Here is a 24,087-nt window from a genome sequence, read left to right on the forward strand (position 1 = left end):
AAAATTAACTGTACGTGGTGGCATGTGCCTGTAGTCCCAGCTACTCAAGAGGCTAAGGCAGAAGAATTGCTTGAACCCAGGAGGCGGAAGTTGCAGTGAGCCAAGATTGTGCCACTGCAGTCCAGCCTGGGCGACAGAGCAAGACCCTGTCTGAAAAAGAAAGAAGATCCTATGGGAAGGGAAGTGAGCCCCCTCCCTGCTTTCTGGAATAGTGTGAGTGGCAGATGGCATTGGTCAGCTGACCTAGCCTGCATGCATAACTTCCCCATCCCAGCCTAGAGGTGGTCATGTGACCCAGTTTTGGCCAATGAGAATAAGCAGAAATTTCTGGATGAGGTTCCCTGAGGGCTTTTTGTCTGGCATGCCCCTTTGGCCTTTTACCATGTACCCTTCTTCCGTCTATCTGTGCATTGCTGATAGGAGGACTGGAGAGGGAGCAGCCATCTTGCAACCCATGAAGACCGTGGCTTGCTTCCTAAGGATGGTGGGACAGAAAGAAGAGCCCAGATTCCCCATGGCACTATTAGCAGTTGCTTTGTTCTGCATACCTTCAGAATTCGTTGTTATTATTCTTGTTGTTGTTGTTGTTTAGAGACCACATCTTGCTCTGTCACCCACGCTGGAGTGCAGTGGTGCAATCATGGCTCACTGTGATCTTGAATTCTTAGGCTCACGCAATCCTCCCACTTCAGCCTTCTGAGTACTTGGGACTACAGATGCACACCACCACGCCCAGCTAATTTTTTAATTTTTTTGTAGAGACAGGGTCTCACTATGTTGCCCAAGCTGGTCTCAAACTCCAGGCTCAAGCAATCCTCCTGCCTTGGCCTCCCAAAGTGTTGGGATTACAGGCATAAGCACCACACCCAGCTACTTCTAGAATTTTTTAAATGTGTCCTTTTTCTTTTGTTGAATGCAGCTGCCCTCATCAGAAGTGACACAGTATGCCAGAGCTCTGAAGAGATTGAATATGTTGCTGTACTGCAAACAGTCAGAGGAAACAGAACCCTAAAAGATGTATGAATAGAACAGGTTCTTTCAGTGTACATTACTACGATCCAAAGTGAGGTCAATGAGTAAGAGATTCAGAATATGTCCAAAGATGAATGACAGAGAGCATCATCATTTCTTAGAAGTAAAACAGCAAGAACAGAGTTTTTCCTGTTTACTGGGTACAAAGCTATCTACATAATTATAAGGGATGTTTTTATTGCCAGAAACATCTAACTTTTATAAAAGCTTAAAGTAGTTTTTTTAATCATTATTTCTGTAAAATGTTTTTATTAAAGGAAACACCATATGGTAACAGCAAGAAGAGTTGGTTACGAGTCACGAAGCTAGTCAGATTTCTTTCCAACAGTTAAAATAAAAAAACTTAACACAGACCATACATTTAGAAAAAAAAAATGCAGTTTCAAGACTCCTGAAAGCATAAAACTTTAACCAAAGAGTTGCGTGTGTATCGTTGTCGGTTTTTTTCATTTTCTAGAACGTAAGACAAAATCTTGGAACGCTTAGGGGTTATATTCATAATATTTAACAGCCAGCGCAGCCTGGACAATGACTCGTTAGAACAGGCATCAGTCATGCCACATTCTGTCACGAAAAGGATCTCCCTTGTGCTAGTCCTTATCACACCTGCTCTCCTTACCCCCACCATCACTACCCTCTGGCACCTACTAATCTGTTTTCCATCTCTATAATTTTGTCCCTTTAAGAATATTATGTACACGGAGTCACACTGAATGTGACCTTTTGAGATGGGCCTTTTGCACTCAACATAATGCCCTTGGGATTCATCCAAGTTGTTGCATGTATCAAAAAATGAAGAATCCTGGCCAGGTGCAGTGGCTCATGCCTGTAATCCCAGTGCTCTGGGAGGCCAAGGTAGGAGGATTGCTTGAGATCAGGAGTTCAAGACTAGCTTGGGCAACATAGTGAGACCCCCGTCTCTAAAAAAAAAAAAAATTGTAATTAAAAAAAGATCAAGAATCCTAACTTCTAGCATGGCCATTTCCAATTTTGGCAAAGTTGGAACACCTGCCTGTTGTTTGACCAGTTATTCCTGGGAAGCAATAATAAAAAACAAAATAAAGCAGTGGATTGTTTTTTATGTTTAAAATTAATTCAAAATGGCTTAGGAGAAGGAATTTGTGACCTGGGGCCCTCAGGTGCCCAGTGGCCTGTGTGTAGGAGGCAGGACCATCTTCACGGGAAATGTCTACAAGACAGATGTATGTTTCTCAGGCTAGCAGCGATCACTTTGCTTCTTACAGCAAAATTCTGGAGTGTTAGAAAATAATCTTCCTTCTAAACCTTCTTCTGTAGTCCTTGCTTTGAATCCAGGAGGACAGTGGGTGAGGGGTTCCCCTACCCAGAACGGTAGGTCAGGCAGGATGGTGCCTAGTGCCGCCACAAGGTCACACAGCCTTTGTGAGCAAAGGCAGGGGAGTTGACCTGGGTCTACATCCAGACCCTCTTCTTGGAGCCTGTCATGTTCCTGCCACCCCGCTAAACACACTGCTTGCATCATTTGATTTAATCCCATCAGCAACTCTACGAGGTAGATACTATTGCTGACCCAATTATACAGACAAAGCAATTATGGCTTAGAAAAATTAACACATCAAGGTCATACAGCAAAGCCAGGACTTAAACCGAGGTTTAAAGGCCCCCAGAGTCCATGCTTCCGACCACTGCATGGTTTTAGTCCAAAGTGAAGAGCAGGTCAAACCACTACATACAGTGGCATCTGTCTGCTGTGTGCTGGTAGGGAATGTGTCCTGGGGACACTGGAAGTCTAGAGTATCTCCTCCAGGCTTATCATGGGTCCCCTCCTAGAGTGGGTTAGGGCCCTTCAAAGCTTTTTCATCTAAGGCATGATAAAATACACACGAGAAAGTTTCAGCTGTTGCTTAAAAGTAAGGAAACTATTCGAAATAAGTTTTTTGGGAACCTCATTGTAGAGCAGCCTGCCTTGATGGTTTTTTGAAATACATGTGACCTTTGAGGCCATTTTAATTTTTACCAATGAGGTAAGTAAATAGTAGAGATTTCTTAAGCCTGTGGACGCACAACCTGTGCAAAGGTTGTTCCTAATCAAAATGAAGTACCAAGTAAGGGTTTTTTTTTTTTCAAAAAAGCAAAATCCATCAGCTTGGCTTCAGCACTGCGGATATTTACAAACCTCCCTCCCAGGCTTGTCGTGGAGCCACAAAAGCCCCCGTTTCCAGATGCTATGTTTTCCGATTGCTCACCGCTTACCTGCAGGAAGAAAGCGTGCTTCACCTGGGCAAAGAGAAACCCTCCTGGAGACCTGCCTTTTATCCCCAGTAAGCAAGCACACATTATCCAGGACATTGAAGGCAGGGAAACAACTCGTTAGTCTGTAACCTGGGGGGAATAGCCCCACTGCTAGAGACTTCAGCACTCCAGGATCCGTGTTGTACTTCATTCCCAGGCTCCGTCTTTTGTAGACCAGTGCCTTTGAGAAGATTACTGCTGGCACACTCTGCCCTTCATGGCCTGTTCTCCTTACCAGGAGCCTTATTGAGGCAGAATATGCATGACAGCTTACTGGATCTACTAAAGGGAAAATGGACTCACTTCTGACTGCCACACTGTTCAAACAAGTCAGTGCTAACACAGACTGCGGCAGGGTCCCCAAGGGCCTCTCTGGAAATGCCTGCCCTTCCTCCCACACCAACCTCCGCATCCCGAGAGAGTTGGTGCACATCCAGATCTTAAAGCATCCTGAGAGTTGGTGAACTAATTCCTGTTAAAACCAACAGTCACTTTAAGTTTGAGGAAGAAAGGTTTAACCAAGTACTAGTAAGATTCACATTTTTAGCTTTTGTTCTTCCAGCTGACTCTGTATACTGGGCCCACAGTTGTACAGAGAGTTACCCTATGCTGACTGCACGGGAGATGCACAGGGCGTGTGGATGCTATGGGAATGGAGAGCATTGGTCATGCAACAGCTTCGCCTATGATGCCGTGTCTTTCCCTGCCCTTCTATATGTTCTTCATGTATTTCCAGGTCTCCTATTGATTCATCCACACTATGTACAGGATTAGAATGCCCAGCAGCTGGGGGAGCCTTTCCAGGGTATGGTTCAGCGGGTGTTACCAGTGACCCTTGCTCACTCCTGTACCTTTGCTTCCACGGGACCACTCCCATGGGGTCTATAACCCCTGTGGGTATGCACCAGCAGCCAGGCTTGCACAACAGCCTCCTGGCCTGGCTGCGCTGAAGGACTTCTTTTTGTTTTTTCCTGTTGTTTGTTTTTTTCTGATAGAGTCTGGCTCTGTCGCCCAGGCTGGAGTGCAGTGGCACGATCTCGGCTCACTGCAACCTCTGCCTCCTGGGTTCAAGCCATTTTCCTGCCTCAGCCTCCTGAGCAGCTGGGATTACAGGCACATGCCACCACCCCCAGTTAATTTTTGTATTTTTTAGTAGAGACAGGGTTTCGCCATGTTGGCCAGGCTGGTCTCGAACTCCTGACCTCAAGTGATCCGCCCGCCTCAGCCTCCCAAAGTGCTGGGATTACAGGCATGAGCCACCACGCCCAGCTGGGACTTCTCTTTAGTTATCAGGGCCTCTGTGTCAACAGGCTCCTGGGATATTTCCTCAGTCTCTCTCTCTGATGTCTCAGCCAGCTATTCTGCCCAAGACAGAAAGTTTCTCTGTAGATCTGGCCTTGGGAAAGACAGATCAGAGTCTCAATTCTAAGATGAATAGGTACGTTGGCGTCAGCTTTTGCCCCAGGATTGCCTGCTCCTACATTCTTTCCTATTATTTGGTTACCAAGATGCTCACATGCAGCCGGCATCTCATGTCCCACAGATCCCATTTGGGGTGCAGCTTTCACCCTTCCACAACTTTGCTTTTAATCGTCACGCTTAACTCCCATCTCTTACTTTGAAACCTTCTCTCTGCGTTGCTTCTTTTCCCATATTTCTTATCCCTTTCATTCTAAACAGTTTCTACAAAAGAACAAAGTCAGTCTACGGGATGAGAGCGGGGAGAGGGATGACAATTCTGAAGAATTCTAGTAGGTTGTTTTTTATTAGGCACTCAGTATTTTTTTCCCCATTATATGTAGTACCTTCTAAGCCCTGACTTCAATGAGAATTTCACTGGTAGAAAGCTTTTAGAGTTGGAGACTTTTGTTGTTTTTTCTGTACAAAGTTTCCTCTTATTTTTTATCTGGCAGAGTTTTTCATTTTGTTTTCTTGGTTTGGTTGTTTGGTTGCATTTTCCTACCCTCCCACCACCCCGCCACTTCCACTCTTCTGCTTGCCTCTTGCTTTTTGAGTGTCTGAAAAAAAGAAGATACGTTTGAGGGTATTGCAAACAAGGAAAAATCATCAGGTGACATTGTTCTGAACTGGTAAACTTTCTATCCCATAAGAGTTTCTTTAAATAGAAAACAAAGCAAAACGACATAGTATTGAAGGAATTCTTGGATCTAGGAGGAAAGGAGCAAGTATCCACAGCCCTGCCAGGAAATGGGTTCTCAGGAAATGGGCTCCCAGGAAATGGGCTCCCAGTACTCCTGAGAGAATGTGTGTGTTTCCTGAAGGCCAGCAGGGTACCTCCAGGGGTGCGTGTGTTTGTGTGAGGGTGGAGTGGGGTGTATATAAGGCTCACAGGGCAGGGGCAGGATATATGGGCCCCAAAAATCAATGGCATTATCAATTTTGCCTTGTAGGCTATGTCCAGGTATTTGAATTTTGAAAATCCCTCCCGGCTGTCATCTCAAGCTCTCTTGGGAACCTTTAAGGATGCCAATATCTGATTAAATGGCAACTTTAGCTCCCTCTTGAACCTTTCACTTTTCTCATCTCTAAAATTCTATTGATGGGCCAGCCTTAAGTTGGTGACTCACATCCTTCAAATGACCACATTGGAAATGGCAGAGACCTCCTTTCACCCACCCCAGCCCTAACACTGGAATCCACAGCCCACCCTGTTTTGGGGGTGCTGGCCACAAGCTCTGGATGCCAACGGATGAGGCCAGGACCTTACATCACCTTCCTGACAGCAGCTGAAAGGCCACAGTGTTTGTATTGATTTACAGGAGCACTTCCTAGTTTTGTCGTCCCTTTGCAACTGTATAGAACAGCTTGAATATTAGAAGGTGAAAGCCATGCTCTATAATAACCTTATGAAAGTTTCATGCTAGCATTTGATCAGTAGCAAGCCTGGCTTAGAACAAAACCATGTTCCTTCGAATGCTGTTGTTGAAGGCTCACACTGGCACCGAAGCTGTTTTCACGTTAGGGTGGCTTCATAAGGGAGCACATTGTTGGTAGACACCACTGTCTGGAGGAGTTGGGGGAGAAAGAAGATGAATGGAAGCTTGGAAAGCATTGTCATTGAAAACATGCTGAGTTCAAAGTCAGCTGTTTCACTCTCCTTGGAGGAAGTTAAAAACAAAGGTATTCTATCAACAGGCATTTAATAACTGTCTTGTTATATACTCTATTACACAGTAATAGTTTCCACTCATTGAGTGCTAATCACATATGTGTGTGTCACACTCACCGTGCGTTTCTCCTCAACGTCCTTCCTGTCTTACCTCTTATATAGGAGCTCGGCCATTTGGGGCATTAACCCCAGCTTTCTCACCAGGTCTAAGCCAGTCAGTGCACACTACTTCCTGTGAGACAGGATTGGTTTAGGAACAGGGGATAACCCAAATGGGAACAGTGGTTTGTGAGGGGAAGGTGTGCGAGATCTGAGGACCTCTGGGAGTGATGCCTCACTCTGGAGAGAGAAGCCTGGGGAGGGTGAGCAGCTGGGCCTGTTACAGGCCTAGGGACGAAGCTGCCACAAAGAGGACAGCAGAGGTGAACAGGGGTGGAGAGACCAAGCCAGAACCACTGCGGCAGGACAACCCTGTCCTCCTCCTCATGAATCGAATTCAGTCCAACACAGTTCTGCATCCTTTGAAGCTGTTTGGATTGGAAATTCTGTTACCCACGACCAACAGTATGTTCGCATTGGTAACAATCAGTGTTAGTAAATTACCCATTACAGCAGTCCTCTGAGATAAGTACCGTTAAGTCTCCGTTTATAGATGAGGAAGCAGAGGCTTTGTGGGGTTAGTTAACTTTTCCAGATCACAGGACTAAGTAGCAGAGCTGGGTTGCAAACCCAGTTCTGTCTGATTCCCAAGCCTGCCTCTTCTGCCCAGCGGTATCTGTCTGTTCCCACATCCTCAGCAGCTTATCGGGAAGGCGCTCACTTTCTGGGAAGCAGGAGGAAACCCACTCTGGCTCTGCCCTTGAGCCAAAATGGATAAAGGCCAGAACACAGGGCAAGTGTTCAGTGGCTTCTGCAACACACCTCAAAGCTCAGGGCAGTCCCGTGATTGGCGCATAGCCAAGGAAACCTAACAGGAGGCAGCACATTAAATCTTTCAGTCCTTTTTATGGCTAGATATAACACACATGCATAAAAATGCATAAAAAATAAATACATAATATAATGAACAATTATAAAAATAATGCCCGAATCAAGAGCTGTTTGGATTTGGCAATTAAATGTTGGTGGCAAAGGAAATCAAGATGATCATCCTAGTCACGACCTTACCTGTACCTGTAGCATTTGACACTCTTTAGGAAAAGTCATGGTGTTTATACCCTAGTCTGTACCATTCATGCCACAATGAGCATCCACAAATATACCCACAAAATGCTATCCTAGAAAAGAGCCATTAATGAAATAAAACTGACTGAGTTAGGGCGATAGCAGCAATGAAGCTATTATTAGCCCTGTTCTACTTTCTATCTCTCATGATGCCCAATTCTCAGGGAAAATGGCCCCTAAAGTGATTTCTTGGAAATCCAAAGTTAGAGAGTGGTTTCCAAGGCCATTAGGAGGGACATCTGTCATGCCACCCATGGCCTTGTGCCAGCCAGAGCGCACTAACAGTTGAGGTAGGCCATCTTAAATAGACACACTTCATTATGTGTGTCTGTGCTTTAATCATCTTTCCATTTGTCAGGAGATATCCTGCATAGATAAATACCAATTTCTGTTTGTGTATATCTCTTGTAATTGATTCTTTATTAGTTCTTTTCAAAGACAGTGTAATCAGAAGGTCTGTTTGCAGAATGTCCATTTGCTGCAAAGAAGAGAATAAATCAATCGATGAGTCTTTTTTATTTTGAGACAGGGTCTCACTCTGTCACCCAGGCTGGAGTGCCACTGCATGATCTTGAGTCACTGCAGCCTCCGCCACCTGTGCTCAAGCAATCCTCCCACCTCAGCCTTCTAAGGAGCTGGGACTACAAGGCACGCACCACCATGCCTGGCTAATTTATGTATTTTTTGTAGATATGAGGTCTTACTATGTTGCCCAGGCTAGTCTCAAATTCCTGGGCTCAAGTCATCCTCCCACCTCGGCCTCACAAAATGCTGGGATTACAGGTGTGAGCCACTGCACCCCACCAATCAATAGATCTTTACAGCCACCTTTATATCAGGGGGAGCCCTCTGTGACCCTGTGTGGTACAGAGTCGGAGGAGAACCCTGGGGAGACCTCGTCATTGGAAGGAACCCCAAAAGGCTGTGAGGAGGCAACAAGCCTCCAACTGCATGCCTGTAATTATGAGATGGATTAATAAGGATGTTCCTCTCCAATTCATATTTTAGCCCTTCTTTAGAGTCTTCAATTAAAAAGATAAAAAATATCTTCTAGTCCTGATGATTCTTTTCATTATTTTAATTACTAAGGTAATCTATTTGATACCTTACATTCCCAGGCGGCCGGCAGATAATTATCCTTTTACACTGCTGAGACCAACCCAAAGCCAGGCAGGCTTTCCACTAGGAGCAGTCAGAACCTGCCCTCATGAACAAAGACAGTGACACGATGGCCACGTGGTCCTTAGATGGTGCGTGGAAGAGGGGATTTTAAAGAGCGTGTGTCTGTGTGTGTGCACTGTTACTCCATACGGATGGTATCTGCTTTATGTGTTTGACAACGGCAGGTTTTTGTCTGCTTGCCATACATTCATTTGCACTTGGAGTGCAATCCAGACAGCAGCATTCTGTCCCCATTGTCTTTGAGGTCCTGCCACTCAGAGTCCCCGAGCCAAGCAGGGTGACAGGGTGCTCTTCATTTTTTCAAACCAAAGTTCTTTGCAAGCAGCATCTCCTTGGGCCGAGGGCTTCAGTGAATATTGTCCTGGCCTCCAGGTGGCAGCAGGATTTGGCTGGTGAGACTGCGGGCTCTGTCAGGAGAAAGCAGGGTGGAGAATAGGCAGAGGTGGGGGTGGGGGCTGAGCTTCCTTAGGGCAAGAGTCAGGTCTTATTCATCTTTGTCGCCCCAGTCAGTGCATGGAACTGTGCACATCACTAATAGTGATCAGTATCAATATCTGCTAGTATTTATTAAACCCTTGCTGTTTGCCAGGCTCAAAGACAACAGAAGAGAACAAAACTAAGAAGGAGAAAGCTCTGTGCATGTACAGCTGGCAAGTGGGGAAAGGCAGACCATAAAATAAATGGGAAACATATGTAGGACCTTTAGATTATGATGGGAGAGCGTGTGCAGTTTTAAATGGGACAGTCAAGGAAGGCTTTGCAGAGATGGTAACAGATGAGCAAAGACATGCAGGAGTGGGCCAGATGGAGACTGGGAAGAGCATTCTAGACAGAGGGAGCAGCGGTTGCAAAGGGTATGGCGGCATCATGCCCCAAGTTTGAGGAACAGGCAGTGGTACCATGGACACCAGCCAAGAGAGGCCACAGCAGTTAGAGCAGGGTCCATGATGGGCTTCGCAAAGAGATAAGGTCACAAAGATCAGGCGAGAGCCAGATCACATGGGCTTGTAGCCACTGAAAGGATGGCCTCTACTCTGGAGGAAGTGGGAAGACGCTAGAAGATTTTCAGGAGGAGGGATGTGATGTGCCTTGCTTTAGCAGCATTACTTTGGCTGCTATAAGGAGGCAAGGGTGGAAGCAGGGTGCCCAGTTAGACCATTGCAAAAATGTAAACAAGAGATGGTGGTGGTTGGATAGCAGTGATGAGGTGGTGAGAGGTGCTCAGGTGCAGGATATGTTTTGGAGATGGAGCCTGTGGGATTTGCTTCTGGGTTAAATGTAGGGTGTGAAGTAAGTGACACCCTGTCCTGTCTGCCATATGCTGTTGGTCTCACAGGCCAACCCCAGTACGATGTGGGAGGGACTCAGGCCAGGGATGAGTGCCAGATGGCAGGAGTTGTTGGGCACTGTCTTAGAGGCTGGATGCCACAATGGATGGAGGTGAATGGATGCCTGAGAGGCACCCAGCAGCCCCTGCAGTGAGGATCGGAGGGTTCAGTCACTTGTTGAAACTGTGCATGTAATCTTGAGAGCTGGAAGGACAGAGGTGGCAGTCACCTGACAGCCTTCACTTCATTGCTAAATAATCTTTTCCTATTGATTGCTGAAGTATTTTGAGTTGTCAACCCATTTTTTATACACCCAAGATGCTTCTCTTTTTAAAATTATTCAATTCAGAGATCAACTGATCTTAAAAATCTATATCTGAAGCCTCCATTTTCTCTGATTCTAAGCTCATTCCTTTCTGAAATATTGTTTCATCCTGGATCATTTCTTGAGATCAAGAGTTCATCTGAAATAGCTTTAACAAATAATGTTGCTCAAAATCTGCCTCCAAACCCAGTTCAACCCACATCCCAAGAAAACTCCCATTGCTACCCCTTTCTGCTTCCCTCACCCCTCCTACCCACTCTCACCTCTCCCCTCGGCTTCCCATCACTATCCCTGCTGTGGGAGCAGGAATCTGCTTCCTGAGGCTTGGGCCTTCTCCCCTTCACCCTTTCCCACTGGTACCTGGAGCCCCTTTCTTTGTGGTTGGCCAAGGGAGAAAATGACACCTCTCATTTTTTCAAAAGCTAGAAATAAGTGTGTCTCAGGGACTCATCTCGAGTGGAAAAGATGGCATGTTTGGTACAAAGGGCACAGCCAACCTCAATGCAGAAAATGTAAAGAGAAAATAACCTCAAAAGCTTTGGGACTCTCAAGCCTCAAAGCTAATGTGCTTGGCCATTTTTTTCTCCCCAAGAATGGTGAGGGCCAGGCATGAGTCCAGCCAGCCATCATGGCCACGGGCAACAATCAGGGATAAGAGTAAAAACTGATAAAATAAAGAGCTAGCATTGATTATCAGTGTATACCAGACAATTGCTAAGTGTATTACATCCAGTATATTATTTTGTCCTAATGGCATGGCTGGGGCCGAGAGAGGCTGAGTAACTCGTTCAAAGACACACTACTAGTCAGTGACAGAGCCTGGAGCAGTAACCAAAAATGAGTTAGTTCAACTATTGCCAGCCAGTTCTGAATACTTTTCATTCACTCATTCAACCAATACAAATTAAGTGCTGCCTGTGGGCGAATGCTGTGGATGCTTGCTGCTTTGCTTTCTAATTTGTATATGTGAGCCTGCAACTGTAAAAGATTGGGTCTGTTGATGTTTTGAGGGGGACCTATCAGTGGCATCCCTCTTCCTTTGCTGAGTTCAGATGTCATGAAGAGTACAGACAGGAATCAGGCGAAGATCAAATGTTCATTACTGTTATGATGAAACGAGAGGCTATGGCTTGGTTTATAGCCACAGTCAGGCTCCCTAACCTGCCTTCCCAGAAGTCACCTCTACTGCAACTCTGAAGAGATGGCCTTGCAAGCCAGAAGATGAGCTGGTCCAAAAGGGGGCTGAGCCACGGGCCCAGTCCTCTCCTCCCGTCCCCTCATACCAGCCCTCCCCCAGGGAAGGGTCCAGGTCTGGGAGTGGGAGCAGCCTGTGAGAATGCCTCCAAGAACACGCCAAAGGGCTGTGGGGCTCCAGCTGCAGGAGTGAGGCAGGACAACAGAGTGAGGAAGTGGCTGGGGACAGGCAGGCTGGCTAAGCATTTTCAGCAGGGTGTGACATGATCAGATTGATGTTTTTAAAGGATCTCACCAGCTGTGGTGGGGATTGGAAGAAGGCTGCAGTCAGGGTGGGGAGGACCAGAAACAGAGACCCTGCTGGTGGCCTGGATGGAAGGTGCCAGTGGCAGTAGAGGCCAGCCAGGGGCTTCTGTGTCACCTCCTGCTGCCAGCTCCTCCTTGGGACTGGCACTGACCCAGGCGGGGCAGATACAGCTGCTGGTCCTTCAGACCAACCGTGCTGTGCTCAGGCCTCAGACCCTGGCCCGTGCCTTCTGTGCTGAAGGCCCCTGTGAACAGTGTTTGCTCTTCAAGGTTCATTCTCAGCCTGAAAACTTCTTCCTTCTGGCATGTTTACAGTTTATGAAGTAAAAAGTCCATAAAGAGATTTATCCTCCCCATCCCAAAGCTGTAACCTAGGTGCAGTCATTGGCAGGCTACCAGCCCGACTTCCTCCCCTGGGGAAGAAGGCTTGTCACTAGGGAAGGCATGCATGTTGCTAATGAGAGAACATGAAGCAATCCAGGTCCACATCTGTGTGCTGCCTCCACTCACGGCTGCCACGAAGGTGCTCCAGCTGGCCGAGCGGAGTGGCCCTTGGGAGGCTGAGGATATTGGGCCTGCGGGGAGTTACACGCATTCCACCCAGTAAGGAAGTTTGTTCATTTGCCATTCACCAGGTATCTGTGGAGCCCCTCCTGTGGGCCAAACATCATGCCAGGTGCTGGAGATGCATGTGAAAGTGAAGAAAGGCAGAGTCCCTGCCCTCTCCGAGTTAGTGGGTCTGGGACTGGGGGAAAAGACAAGTGTCAGACCATCATGATACGACAGCATGGCAATGCCAGGGGAATACCTAGAAGAGTGGGGCAGGGAAATCTTTTCCAGGGAGGACCTTCCAAGCAGAAACCTGAGGAATGAGCGGGAATTGATGAAATGGAAGGTCGGGGGTGGGGCAGGATATAGAGGAAGGGGAAGAACATGCCCTCGTGGGAGTGATGACTGGGCACCCTTCTCTCCTCGGACGCAGACCCAGCCCTGCACCTGATGCACAAACCGGCCTTCAGTTGCTACTTGTACCCTTGATCAGACAAGATGGCAGTGGGCTGGACAATGGAGATATTTTCAGGAAGCTTGGTTGAGAAGGACAGGCAAGAGATAAACAAGACGACCAGAGAGGAGGCCCAGTCAGGAGTGAGTTCGGCTTGTCTAAGTGCTGGTAGGCGGGAAGAGAAGGGTCCCAGGTGAAAGAGGGGTTGCAGGTGCAGGAGGAAGAAGGGATCAATGGTAGACAAGGCCCCTGAAAAGTCGAAGGCAGTGGAATGCAGCTCGCCATGGTAGGGTTAGACTCAGGAGGGGACAGAAGAGAACGAACAGGATTGGTGTGAATGCAGGAGGCGGGGGAGTTGTGATTTTGGTGGCAGGACTTTGAAAGCGTTTCTTGGTGGCTTCTTATTTCTGCCTGGAAAGAAAGGCTAGAATATTTTAAAACATGACTATTAATAGGCTCTCTTTCAACTTCCCCACTCATCTGTGATCATCTCTCATGGTCAACCCCTTCTTTTAGGATTTCTAAGTCTTTCGTCACCATCATTTTGGATATTGTTTTGCTAGACACCCAATTGACTCAACCTAGAACTTGATGCTTCCATTTTCCCATGCTAAGGTGAACTTCGTAAATATAATAAGTTAGGCGGGTTTTGGGGGGCTGGGCCGGAATCCTAACACCATATACTGTTCAATGTTTTTTCTGAGTTGTACGATGCATTCCAGGCCCAAACTCAGTCTTACAGATGATATTTTGGAACATAACTCTCTGTAAGGACTCTCCCTCGAGTGATTTTAATTGTATTAGGAAATCATATAAGTTGAACCTCCGCAATTTGTCAGTCTTGGAAGGAAAGCCATGAGTAGCCAATGAATGGAGTCAGGCTAAGTCTGGGCTTTCCATCTACTTTTAGTTGATCAGGCAAATGGCATCTTCTGGCCTTGGGTTTAGGTGCTGTTATCCTGGGCACTTGATGGCTGTTGAAATAATACAAATGCATCAATTCTCAGCAAGCAGTAGACACCATTTTCCTGTTGGGCAAAAAGCAAGCTTAAGAAGGAGCCATTGTGTGAACTGCCTTTAACTCTGTCCTCACCCACATTCATTCTAGTGAGGAATCCTTTAAAAGAGTCCTTAAATCTAATTGCAATCATGGATCCTTTCCAAGCTTCTAGAGTAGAATATCTCCTCCCTCTCCATGCCCAACTCCAAAGGAGGCTTTTGGAGTAAATGCTTTTCTGCCCACTAGTGCCAGGGGTGGGCCTAGTGGAAGCCTGTGCTGGCCTGGGCCACCCCCAACCCTGGGCTGTGCACAGGAAGACAGGTCCTCCCCACGCCCTTGTTCTATGGCTCTGATTCCACACAGTGACCCTGGACATGCCAAGCACTGACATTCCTCCTTCATGATAAGCCAATGAGATCACAAAAAAGGACTCTCAGTTTCTTCCATTTAAAAATGATTTTTCCACTTCAGTTTGTGCCTGAGTGCCCTATTAAACATTTCTTTTTAAGGCATAATGACACATTTCTCCCACTTCTCACCTTGTCAGTGCTGGAAGATTAAAAAATCAAAGTCCCCCACCAGCTCTGCCCTGGCCCCTCTTCATGGGGTGTCCTGGGATGCGTCATGTGCCCGGAGGTGGTTTAGTGAGGAGCCAGGCTCACTTCATATCTCTGTTGTGCCGTGCAAAGATCCCAAGAAGGGAAAGTAAGTGATTTATACGAAACACTCAAGCTTCCTCCCTACCCTCCTCTTCCAGGAAGATGTCATAACCAATACATCAGGGTGTCCAGCGCTCTGTTTCTCCCCCGCCCCCATCAGAAATCTGTGCAAAATTAGAGCTAAACCATGGGACATATTTAATTAAAAGACTAATGGCAAATAAGGTTCTGGTGGATGTTGTCTAATTGCGGTCTGTTAGATTTTAATTACTCATGGTAAATTGTGAAAACTAATCCACAATGTGTCTTTGCACACTCCTGTTCTTTTTAATCACAAAGAAAATGTTCTCGGCAGCTGACAGGATGGGCCTCATCATCAGCACAGAGCAACTTGATCTTACACGACAGTGACTCAGCAACTTGCCGAATCCAATTAGCAGCTTTGTAGCTACTTATTCAGAATGGCTATAGCAAAGTCTCGCTTCAAATGCCACAAACAGCCAGGTCTCCCAGCCCCTGATTCACTTGTATGCTAACAGCAAGGATCACTGCCAGAGTGGAACAGAACAGACGGGTTCTGCGATGAGTTAGAAACATGCTTTCCCCTGGATCCCAGATTTTTGTCTGTCCTCACCAGAGATTGACACAGAAGCGCTAGGAAGCTCTTGGAGACTTTTAGAGCTGAGGAGCCAGAGAGAGATCTTAGTGGTCACCTGGTCCTGATGAAGGAGCTGGGGCCCAGGGATGGAAGGCAGTTGCTCAGGATTACACAGATGGGTAAGAAGAAGGCCCACATCATAGGAACCCAAACCTCCTGACACCCCACGCCTTGCCCTCCCCAAGACCCCCCCCAGGTCTCTCTCCCAGGTATGTCTTAGGAAGGGACAGTGTGGTGTCCGGAGAGAACCGTGCTGACTCTGCCCCACCCAGCAGGGTGAACTGGCAAGTCATGACCCTCCCAGCTCTCAGTTTCCTGATTGTTACTGTAAGCGTAATGCTCTGTAAGAGAGTTTGAGAAGTATATGAGATAGTCATATGAAATTGCCCAAAACAAGTAGAAACTCTTGTTTTAGGCACCTAAAATCCCTTCGTTCTTGATTTGAGGGCAATGAGGTGGAGAGAGGGTGAGGGAGGAGAGAGAGAGCAAGAACATGTGTTGTGTGAAAACATTATGAATCAAAGTTACTACTGCAAACTTTGAAGAAAGATGGTGGCCAGAGGGGACTCTACTTTGGACATCAATTTATTTGGTAGATAATAAAGAAAAAGGGTGCCCTCTCGGACATTTTTCTCTAGGACTCAGAATTTATATTTAAACCTCTGTTCCAGCTATAGAGCTCTGCTCCGTGCCTGCCAACAAGATATTAGATCCCTCTGCAGCTTTCTCCTTGGACACTTGCCTGCATTTGTGAGTTGCTGTTTTTGTCATTGGAATAGACCAGTTTCTGTACCTGGAGGCTAAAGTGAATGAGTGTCTTTTAATGAATCGCAGAAATGATCAGCTGTGGCACGGAGCTGTCAGTAACCCAGCCTCTCTTGCCACCTATCACCTCCCCATGTAACATGCATAGACATTTCATGCCTTTGTCCTATCTGTTGAAAAGGGAACAGCACGTCTGTCTTCTCTCTCTGCTCTGTTTTGATTTTTCCTATGACCAGAGGTTGCTGCAGAGAGTGATTTTTAAAAGACAAAACCAAACAGGATCATTCTTCTTCCAAATCAAATATGGTCAACGTAGCCTTTCAGAGAGAGACTCACCGGCCATTAAAACTTCTCATAGTTTTAATGAAAAGTGGCAGTCCAGCACCATGGTGGTGCTGAGAGAGGACCTGCCTACATGTCACATGCAGCTAGAGGGGCTCACAGGCCAGGAATAGTATGAGATTGCCTACATAGTGTCTAACACATGGCACCGAAATTTTAGTTAACATCAGTGCTCTTACTTTTTTCTTTTTAAGTAACACCAGGGACACATAACTTTTTATTAATCTAAATAAATATGTGTGTTGCTCATTAAGCAAATTAACAAAGCTTGTAATACTGATAATTATAGTAACTGCTATCTTTTATTGAGTATTTATTTTGTTCCAGGCACTGTGTTAGGATCTCATACACATATATCTATCTGACTTAAAGGTGATGAAACTGAGGATTAGAAGGATTCAGTAACTTGCCACAGTGGAATCACCTAGTATGCACTGAGAGTGGGTCCGTGTGCCTTCAGAGCCAGCGCTCTCAGCCCTTCTGCTGTTTTGCTTCACAGTGTGTTCCAGGGAGTAGTCGGATCTCTGGGAAGCCTGAGACTGATTGTAACGGCCAGGACAGGAGATCAGCTCTCCTGAGCTATTTACTCCAGCCTAGGGCACTTCTGCGAAAACCATCTGAGAGTATCTCTGGAAGACTGGGGCATCTGAAACCACGGCTTTAAAACAGTCTTGCCAGAGAGTAAACTTAGTTTCCATAGGTTGTGATCTGAACCATCATGTTAATGTTGCTAGCTTCTCACATCCACTTCCTTTATGAGTTCATTTTCCTTTTTCCTGAAATATACCCTTCTTAGGTCTTTCTTCAAAGGTATGTGAGTTGCAGACCTTTTCATTGTGTCTCACTTTGAAAATGTTTTTATTTTGCCAGTGTTCTAAAATAACAGCTTAGCTGGGTATAATTGATGTAGGTTGACAGTTTCTTGGTATTATTCCATTAGCTCCTGAACTCTTTGTAGCTACTGAGAAAGCTATTTCTTTGTTGTTGCTTTGTAAGTCCTATTTTTCTTCTCTAGTTATTTCCAAGGTCATCTCTTCATCTTGGGTGTTCTGCAGTTTCATTACAATGTGACTAATACAGTTTTTTAAAAATTAACCCCATTCAGGACTTATTATGTTTCCTGAGTCTGAAGAGTTCATTAATTCTGGAAACTTCTCAGTCATTGTCTCTTTAGATATTGCCTCTCTTTGTTCTCTCTACATTTTTCTGATACTCATATTCTATCCTATATGTTTCTTAACCTGTTTTATATTTTCCATTTCTGTCCTTCTCTCTACTGTATTCCAAACAGTTCCTTAGAGTTGTCTTCCAATTTACTCATTCTCCATTCAGCTGTGTCTAATCTGTCATTTAACTCTGCGACTCATTTTTAAATTATATTTTTATTTCCATACATTTTTATGTAAGTCTTTTTTTATTATACTTTAAGTTCTGGGGTACATGTGCAGAACATGCAGTTTTCTTACACATGCCATGGTGGTTTGCTGCACCCATCAACCCGTCATCTACATTAGGTATTTCTGCTAATGCTATCCCACCCCTAGCCTCCCACCCCTTGAGAGACCCTGGTATGTGATGTTCCCCTCCCTGGGTCCATGTGTTCTCATTGTTCAACTCCCACTTATGAGTGAGAACATGTGGTGTTTAGTTTTCTGTTCTTGTGTTAGTTTGCTGAGAATGATGGTTTCCAGCTTCATCCATGTCCCTGCCATTCTTTTTTCATTATGCTCTTTCTTGTGGTTCTTTTATGTCTTTAAGCATTTTAAACATTCTTAATTGTTTAAATTCATTTTCAATCATTTAAGTACTTTTTTTATTGTTCTTGTATCTGAAATCCTTGGGACACTGATCCTTCTGTCTTTTATGTTTAGTATATAATGGGTTATTTCTTCATGTGTTCTGTAATTTGGGGCCTTGAGGTTATGTTCATTGGAGCATATCCTGAGACAATCCCCTGTGGCCAGCCTTTTCCTCAGTGCTGTTTCTGCATTTTCTTCTGCCAGGTCTTCAAGGGTTAGCACCTTCCCAAGACCAGTTTTATGGTAATTTCTCAGCTTGAGGGTCTGAGGTACTGTACACTTTGAACTCTAAATCCACATGAGACACAGACCTGGAATTTTAATTTTCAGGGTAGGCTTCTTCTCCGTGTTCTTCAAATCCAGACAGAGGCAAGATTCCTTTTTGCCAGTCTGTGCCAAGGATATGTTTTGTTTTGTTTTGTTTTCCCTAGTCTGCTGTTACATCAAGGGTGGCAACCCTTTAGAATACCCACACCGGGCAGGAATCTCAGTTCCAACTTCTTGGTTCATGTCGGCCAAAGCTTTCATTCTCAGGTGAAGGTTAAAATCTAAGCTCTAGGTTACAATAATGGATACTTTCTCTGCTCCAGGTAGCTACAGCATTGGGCACTTACTGCTGTGGTTTGTGTTATTTACTTTTTGCGTCTGGAGATTTTTTTCCCTTGCTTTCTTATTATCTCCTCAGCTACCTACTTTTTTATAAAGTCACTACTCTTACATATTGTATTAGTTCATTCTCACACTGCTATGAAGAACAACCCGAGACTGGGTAATTTGTGAAGAAAAGAGGTTTAATTGACTCACAGTTCTGCAGGCTGTACAGGAAGCATGGCCGGGAGGCCTCAGAAAACTTACAATCATGGTGAAAGGGGAAGCAGACATGTCTTACCATGGCAGAGCAGGAGAGAGAGAGAGAGCGAGGGGGAAGCACTACACACTTTCAAACAACCAAATCTCATGAGAACTCACTATCACAAGATCAGCAAGGGAGAAATTTTTTCCCATCATCCAATCACTTCCCACCAGATCCCTCCCCCAACACTGGGGCATTACAATTCAACATGAGATTTAAGTGGGGACAAAGAGTCAAAAAAATCATATTAACATTATTCAGCACATCTAGGTACATGTAGCAGTAGAATCTTTAGTTTATCTTATTCTGCATCACTCTAGAACTTTCTAAGTCATACTATCTGATTATAAACTAACTGTCATACATAGGAAAAATTGTGGTAGACAAAGAGGTAGACATACTCTTCGATCACATGTTTCAGCCACCTGTCCAAAACACACACTTTACCCAACCTGTGCTCATTTATTTGCCCAGTAAAAAATTCAGCACGAAGCAATGGGGCCTAAAAATGTTGGGCCACACCAGTAGCTTCTTCAAGGCATGACAGTGTTTCACAATCCCCCCAAGCCCGTAATTGAAGCCTCTTGACATTTTGCCTTTGAAATTAACCCATGGGCAGTCTTATTAAATTCTGCCTAAGCATTCATAATAGACAGACTTCAACTTGAGAAAGTTGATTATGTTTCTCTCCAGTGCCCCAGAAATGTAAGCCTGACATCTTTTTTTTTTTCTTTTGAAGTAAGAAAATACCAAGAAGAGAACACTTCTTTTCACAAAGTTTGGAAATGGACAACTGCAACTCAATACAATTTTGAAAGAGTTTATTGACTCTGACTTTTACTTTATTAGTACTTACTTGTTCCAAGTTGCTGACAATGCTTCAGTCTTATGGCTTCAATTTTTCCTAACTGAGGGAGTAGTTAGGAGCAAATAGCATCATTTCTGTTTTATTGAGACCTGGAGAGTCCCTAGATTTATCCAAGTAGCAAAGATAGCCAGACCTCCAAAAAAAAACTGTGCCCTTGAACCCAACCCAACCCACTTGCCCCAAGCAAAATTACTTTTTCGCAGAAGTATATTTTAAGATTATTCCCTCAAGTTTCATCAAGGGATCAGCCTTATGAAACCTGCTAGTGCTTTGAGGTGGGATATAGCTGAGACGTTGACCGCAAACGTCAGATAATGTTTTCTAGCCAGGATTAAGAGCATAGCTTTGGAGGCAGTTGCATGCCTAAATTGGAATCCCACCTCTGTCACCTAATATTTGGGTGCATCTCTGCAATAGGAGGTGACAGTGTCTGCCTCTCAGGATGGCTGTTCCAATCACAGCCAGTGAGATCATGTGGGTACAAGGGCTCTGGAAGCCGCATAACTTTATAATTGTTCATTGTCTCTATTGTTGCTACGGTTACTATTAATAAAATGTCTTCAATTTTACCAACACTGTGTGATGGCAAGGCCCAGAGCTTTCTTTAGTTTTATGCATATTTGGAATTTAAAAGTTGTTTTCATAGAGAAGTACATGGTTCTAGGATGAGTTTCCATCAGTTTGTTATGTTAGCTCTTCAGGTGAAGAGGTTGTATGGGATAGTCACGTTCCTCCCTAGAAGGTAAAAATGAATCCACAAGACATGTGCCATAACTGTGATACAGCTATGAAACAGTAAGCACAAACATTCCAGCAACTTCTGAATTCAGACAAACACTACACCCTCCATGTGGTCTATGTTGAAGTCCTGTAATGCAGCCAGTTTTTTTTTTTAAAGAATTTTTATAGGCCCAATAATAAGCCACATCAGGAACCATATCTTGTTACTTTATGGTTATGCCTTCTTTTAACATATATGGAATATTAATCAATTAGATTACTTTTTCTCACCAATTTTGGCTCTAAATGTTGCCGGGCCATTTGCAAAAATGAAGTCTCCCTTTTATAGTGATACATTTAAATAGTCATTTATAATTATAAAGTGCCTGAAAAACTTATCCGCTCTCAGTAACACTGTGAAGCAGTTGGAATCCTCACTGTAAAACAGGGCTACCTAGGCTTAGAGCCGTGAAGGGACTCGCACCAACTCACTTCTCTTACAAAGAGGAGCTCTAAGCTGAGAATCCAGTGTCTGACCTCCTCAACCAACCTGTTTTGTGCTTGTCTTGCTGCCTTTACGCTCTGCAGAGCAAGGATTTCTCTCTCTTTGGAAGAATGTGTTCCCCTAAATGAGTTCCCATCATATCTTCAACAAGTTTCACTTGAATTTGTAAATTCTGAGATGAGTTTGGGCAAATCGCTGTCTCTGGAAGCTTCGCTCTCTCCTATTGTTAAAAAATGGAGTCAATTTAAAGTTGCCCCCTGAGCCTTAGGGGTTCTGAGGAGCGGATGGGAAAGGGCTGTGTTGAGTGGGGCAGAAGGCTAGTATGTGGGGTCCTCTTGCCCCTTCAGCTAGAGCAGCTTTGCTTTGAGCTGTGCCACATACAGTGTAATTTAGGGGATACAAATAGGAAGGGCAGAGAGATTGGGGTTCTGTTTCATTAGAAAAAAAAAGATCTAAGCCAGGAGGCCCTGAGATGGTGGTGCTCTAAACTGAGCTTGACGGGACATGCAGAACTGTTTTCTCCATGTTATAGATGAGAAAACCCATATGTAGAGAAGGTAAGCGATCTACCTAGATCCCATAGCTCAGAGGAGGAGAATGGGAATTTAAACTCAGATCACAGGGCCTTGATATGTGCCATCCCCTCTGTCTGGGACTGCCCGCCACCCGCTCTCACTTTCTTTCACTCCATCGGTTCCTACATCGGTCAGGCCTTAGCTTGTTGGTACTTCCACAGGGAACCTTCCTTGACTTTTAATAGCCCTTTTGTGTGGCCTCATGGCACCATGTACCTTCCCTCCATAACTTTTAGCACATTGTAATTTACATTTCTTTGTAATTCTTTAACTAATGCGTGTCTCCTATGCTAGACTGTGGAATCTACAAGTCATGTCTTGTTTGTTTTGTTTTGTTTTATTCCACCATTAGGTCCTCAGTACCCAGCAGAATACATGGCATATGGTGGGTGGTCGGCATTCATTTGCTGAATGAATAAATGAATTGAGTGGATGCATGAATGGGGACAGTGATGTTAAACATCATATGTGCTGCTTCCAGGGTCCCTTTCGACTCTGACCACCAGTGGTCCTGGCGTTTCCTAGCCAGGGCTGTCATGCTGTTTTGCTGCCAAAAACGGGTAGAGGAGTTTGAAGGGCTATCATGGAGGAGAAGGACTGGAGTGAATCCAGGGCGAGTGAGGAGAAACACAGGACACACTCGTCAGCTTAGTATAAGGGGAGCCCACACTGTCAGAGCATGGAATGGGCTGCCCCACAAGGAATCCAACATAAGGCCTGGCAGAAAGAGCTCAAGCATGGACCAGAAGACCCCTCTGGTGCCTTACCTTTGACTCTGTGATTTCATGAACATGTTACTTGTATGATGAATATTTAATCAGGATATCACTGCTATATTCCAGCCTAGAATATTGTAGACGGAGGAGGTGCATCCTACCAGCCAAATCCCTGTTTTGCCCCTCTTCCCTTCAATCTCTCACTGTTTGTCGAGAGATGGTGCAATTAATTAGACCCAGAGTTCCCCTCAAAGGTATTTGCAAAATAACAGTGTCATTGGAAATGTATACAAATTTCTCTTTACCGATGTGTAATTCCTTCATAATTAACGGACACTGAGTCTTAAAGTAATTAACCTATTTCTTCCATTAGTCGCTGAAGAAATAAAAGTTTTACAACATAACACAGTCATAGGTAATTCTACTCATGAATAATGGGGGTTGAGGGTGATGCCGCAGTGAACTCCTTGGATAGGTGGCTCTTAATACCATATGGGTGACATGGTAATCTCATGTCCTCTGCCTATCTTTTCTGACCTCCAACTTGTTTATGGTCTGTGCCATTCATTTAACATCTCAGTAGTTCTCTCTTATTTGCCAGGAATGAGACCTCAAGTGAACAGGAGGCTGGTGTCTGTATGCAGTGAAGCCACTCAGAGCAGGGTCATCCCAGCCTTTCAGAGGAGTCTTTTCAGGACCTGATCCTGGGTCCAGTTTTTCCTGTCGCTTTCTTAATGATGGATTTTTGGCTGTGCCTTCTCAAACAGAAATATAAGGCTCTCTTCTGTGACCCCACCCCTCCCTGCCGCATCCCAGCCCATTTCTGTACTCTACCGTCTGTACACGCAGACCAGCTGCTCTCAGCTATTTGCGATTCCTTGGACTGGTCTGTGCAGGCTCACAATTCTGTCTGTGCTCTCCGCAGAAAGGGCTTTTCCTCTGTACCACTTAACCATGTGCCAAAGTCATGTCCCATCCTTCCATCACCAGTTCATTTGGCGCCAGTCTGTGAAACTGCTCTGATCGCTCCTGGACAGGGTGAACCACTTTGTGGACATACCATGGCCAAAGCCAGCTTCCTACGGTGATTGTACACAGCCTGTCCTCTTTCAGTAGGTCATGCGCCGTCTGAAGAGGTCCCTATTGGGCCATTTGTACCTGGAACATATACTCAGCAAATCTTTTTTGAAATGGAAGGGGAAATAATACAATGAATGCCCCTTGCCACCAGTACCTCTGGTGACGTTTTGCCAGCTGGACTGAGCTCCTTGCTCTCCACCTGTCAAAATCCTACTTGTGCTTTAACATCTAGACCTAATCTCATCTCCTCTGCCAGTCTACTGACTTCCAAGTTGTCTATGGTCCATGCCATTTATTTAACATTTAGTATTAATGGTTTCATCCTGTTGACTGTCTATTCATGTATAAATGTCTTATGGACCCCAAGTGGATTGTAATATAGCCTAATCCTTCTTTCTGTAACTTTGAGATACATCTTCCCCTCACACTACCACTGTGTCATGCACAGAACAGCCACTCCATGAATATGTATGTATTGATCAAGCAGTTCGTATACCTGTTTGTGTCTCCTGCAATGTCCACCTCAGCACAGAACAAATAAATGCTGATCAA

At 45.1% G+C, this 24,087-nt stretch overlaps 1 protein-coding gene across 12 annotated transcripts in view, besides 1 other annotated feature; it reads left to right on the forward strand.

The window, feature by feature from the left end:
* FARS2 (phenylalanyl-tRNA synthetase 2, mitochondrial) overlaps positions 1 to 24,087 on the forward strand; it is a 521,650-nt gene that overhangs the window by 487,444 nt on the left and 10,119 nt on the right. The window lies entirely within an intron of this gene.
* Positions 141 to 642: an enhancer, noted in NCBI's record as "H3K27ac hESC enhancer chr6:5737751-5738252 (GRCh37/hg19 assembly coordinates)". NCBI's record gives its function as "activates a minimal SCP1, AML or CMV promoter by ChIP-STARR-seq in primed H9 embryonic stem cells {active_cell/tissue: H9 hESC(primed)}" and the evidence as "EXISTENCE:reporter gene assay evidence [ECO:0000049][PMID:30033119]".

This window comes from Homo sapiens, chromosome 6 (assembly GCF_000001405.40).
Source record: "Homo sapiens chromosome 6, GRCh38.p14 Primary Assembly".
Lineage (NCBI taxonomy): Eukaryota > Metazoa > Chordata > Mammalia > Primates > Hominidae > Homo > Homo sapiens.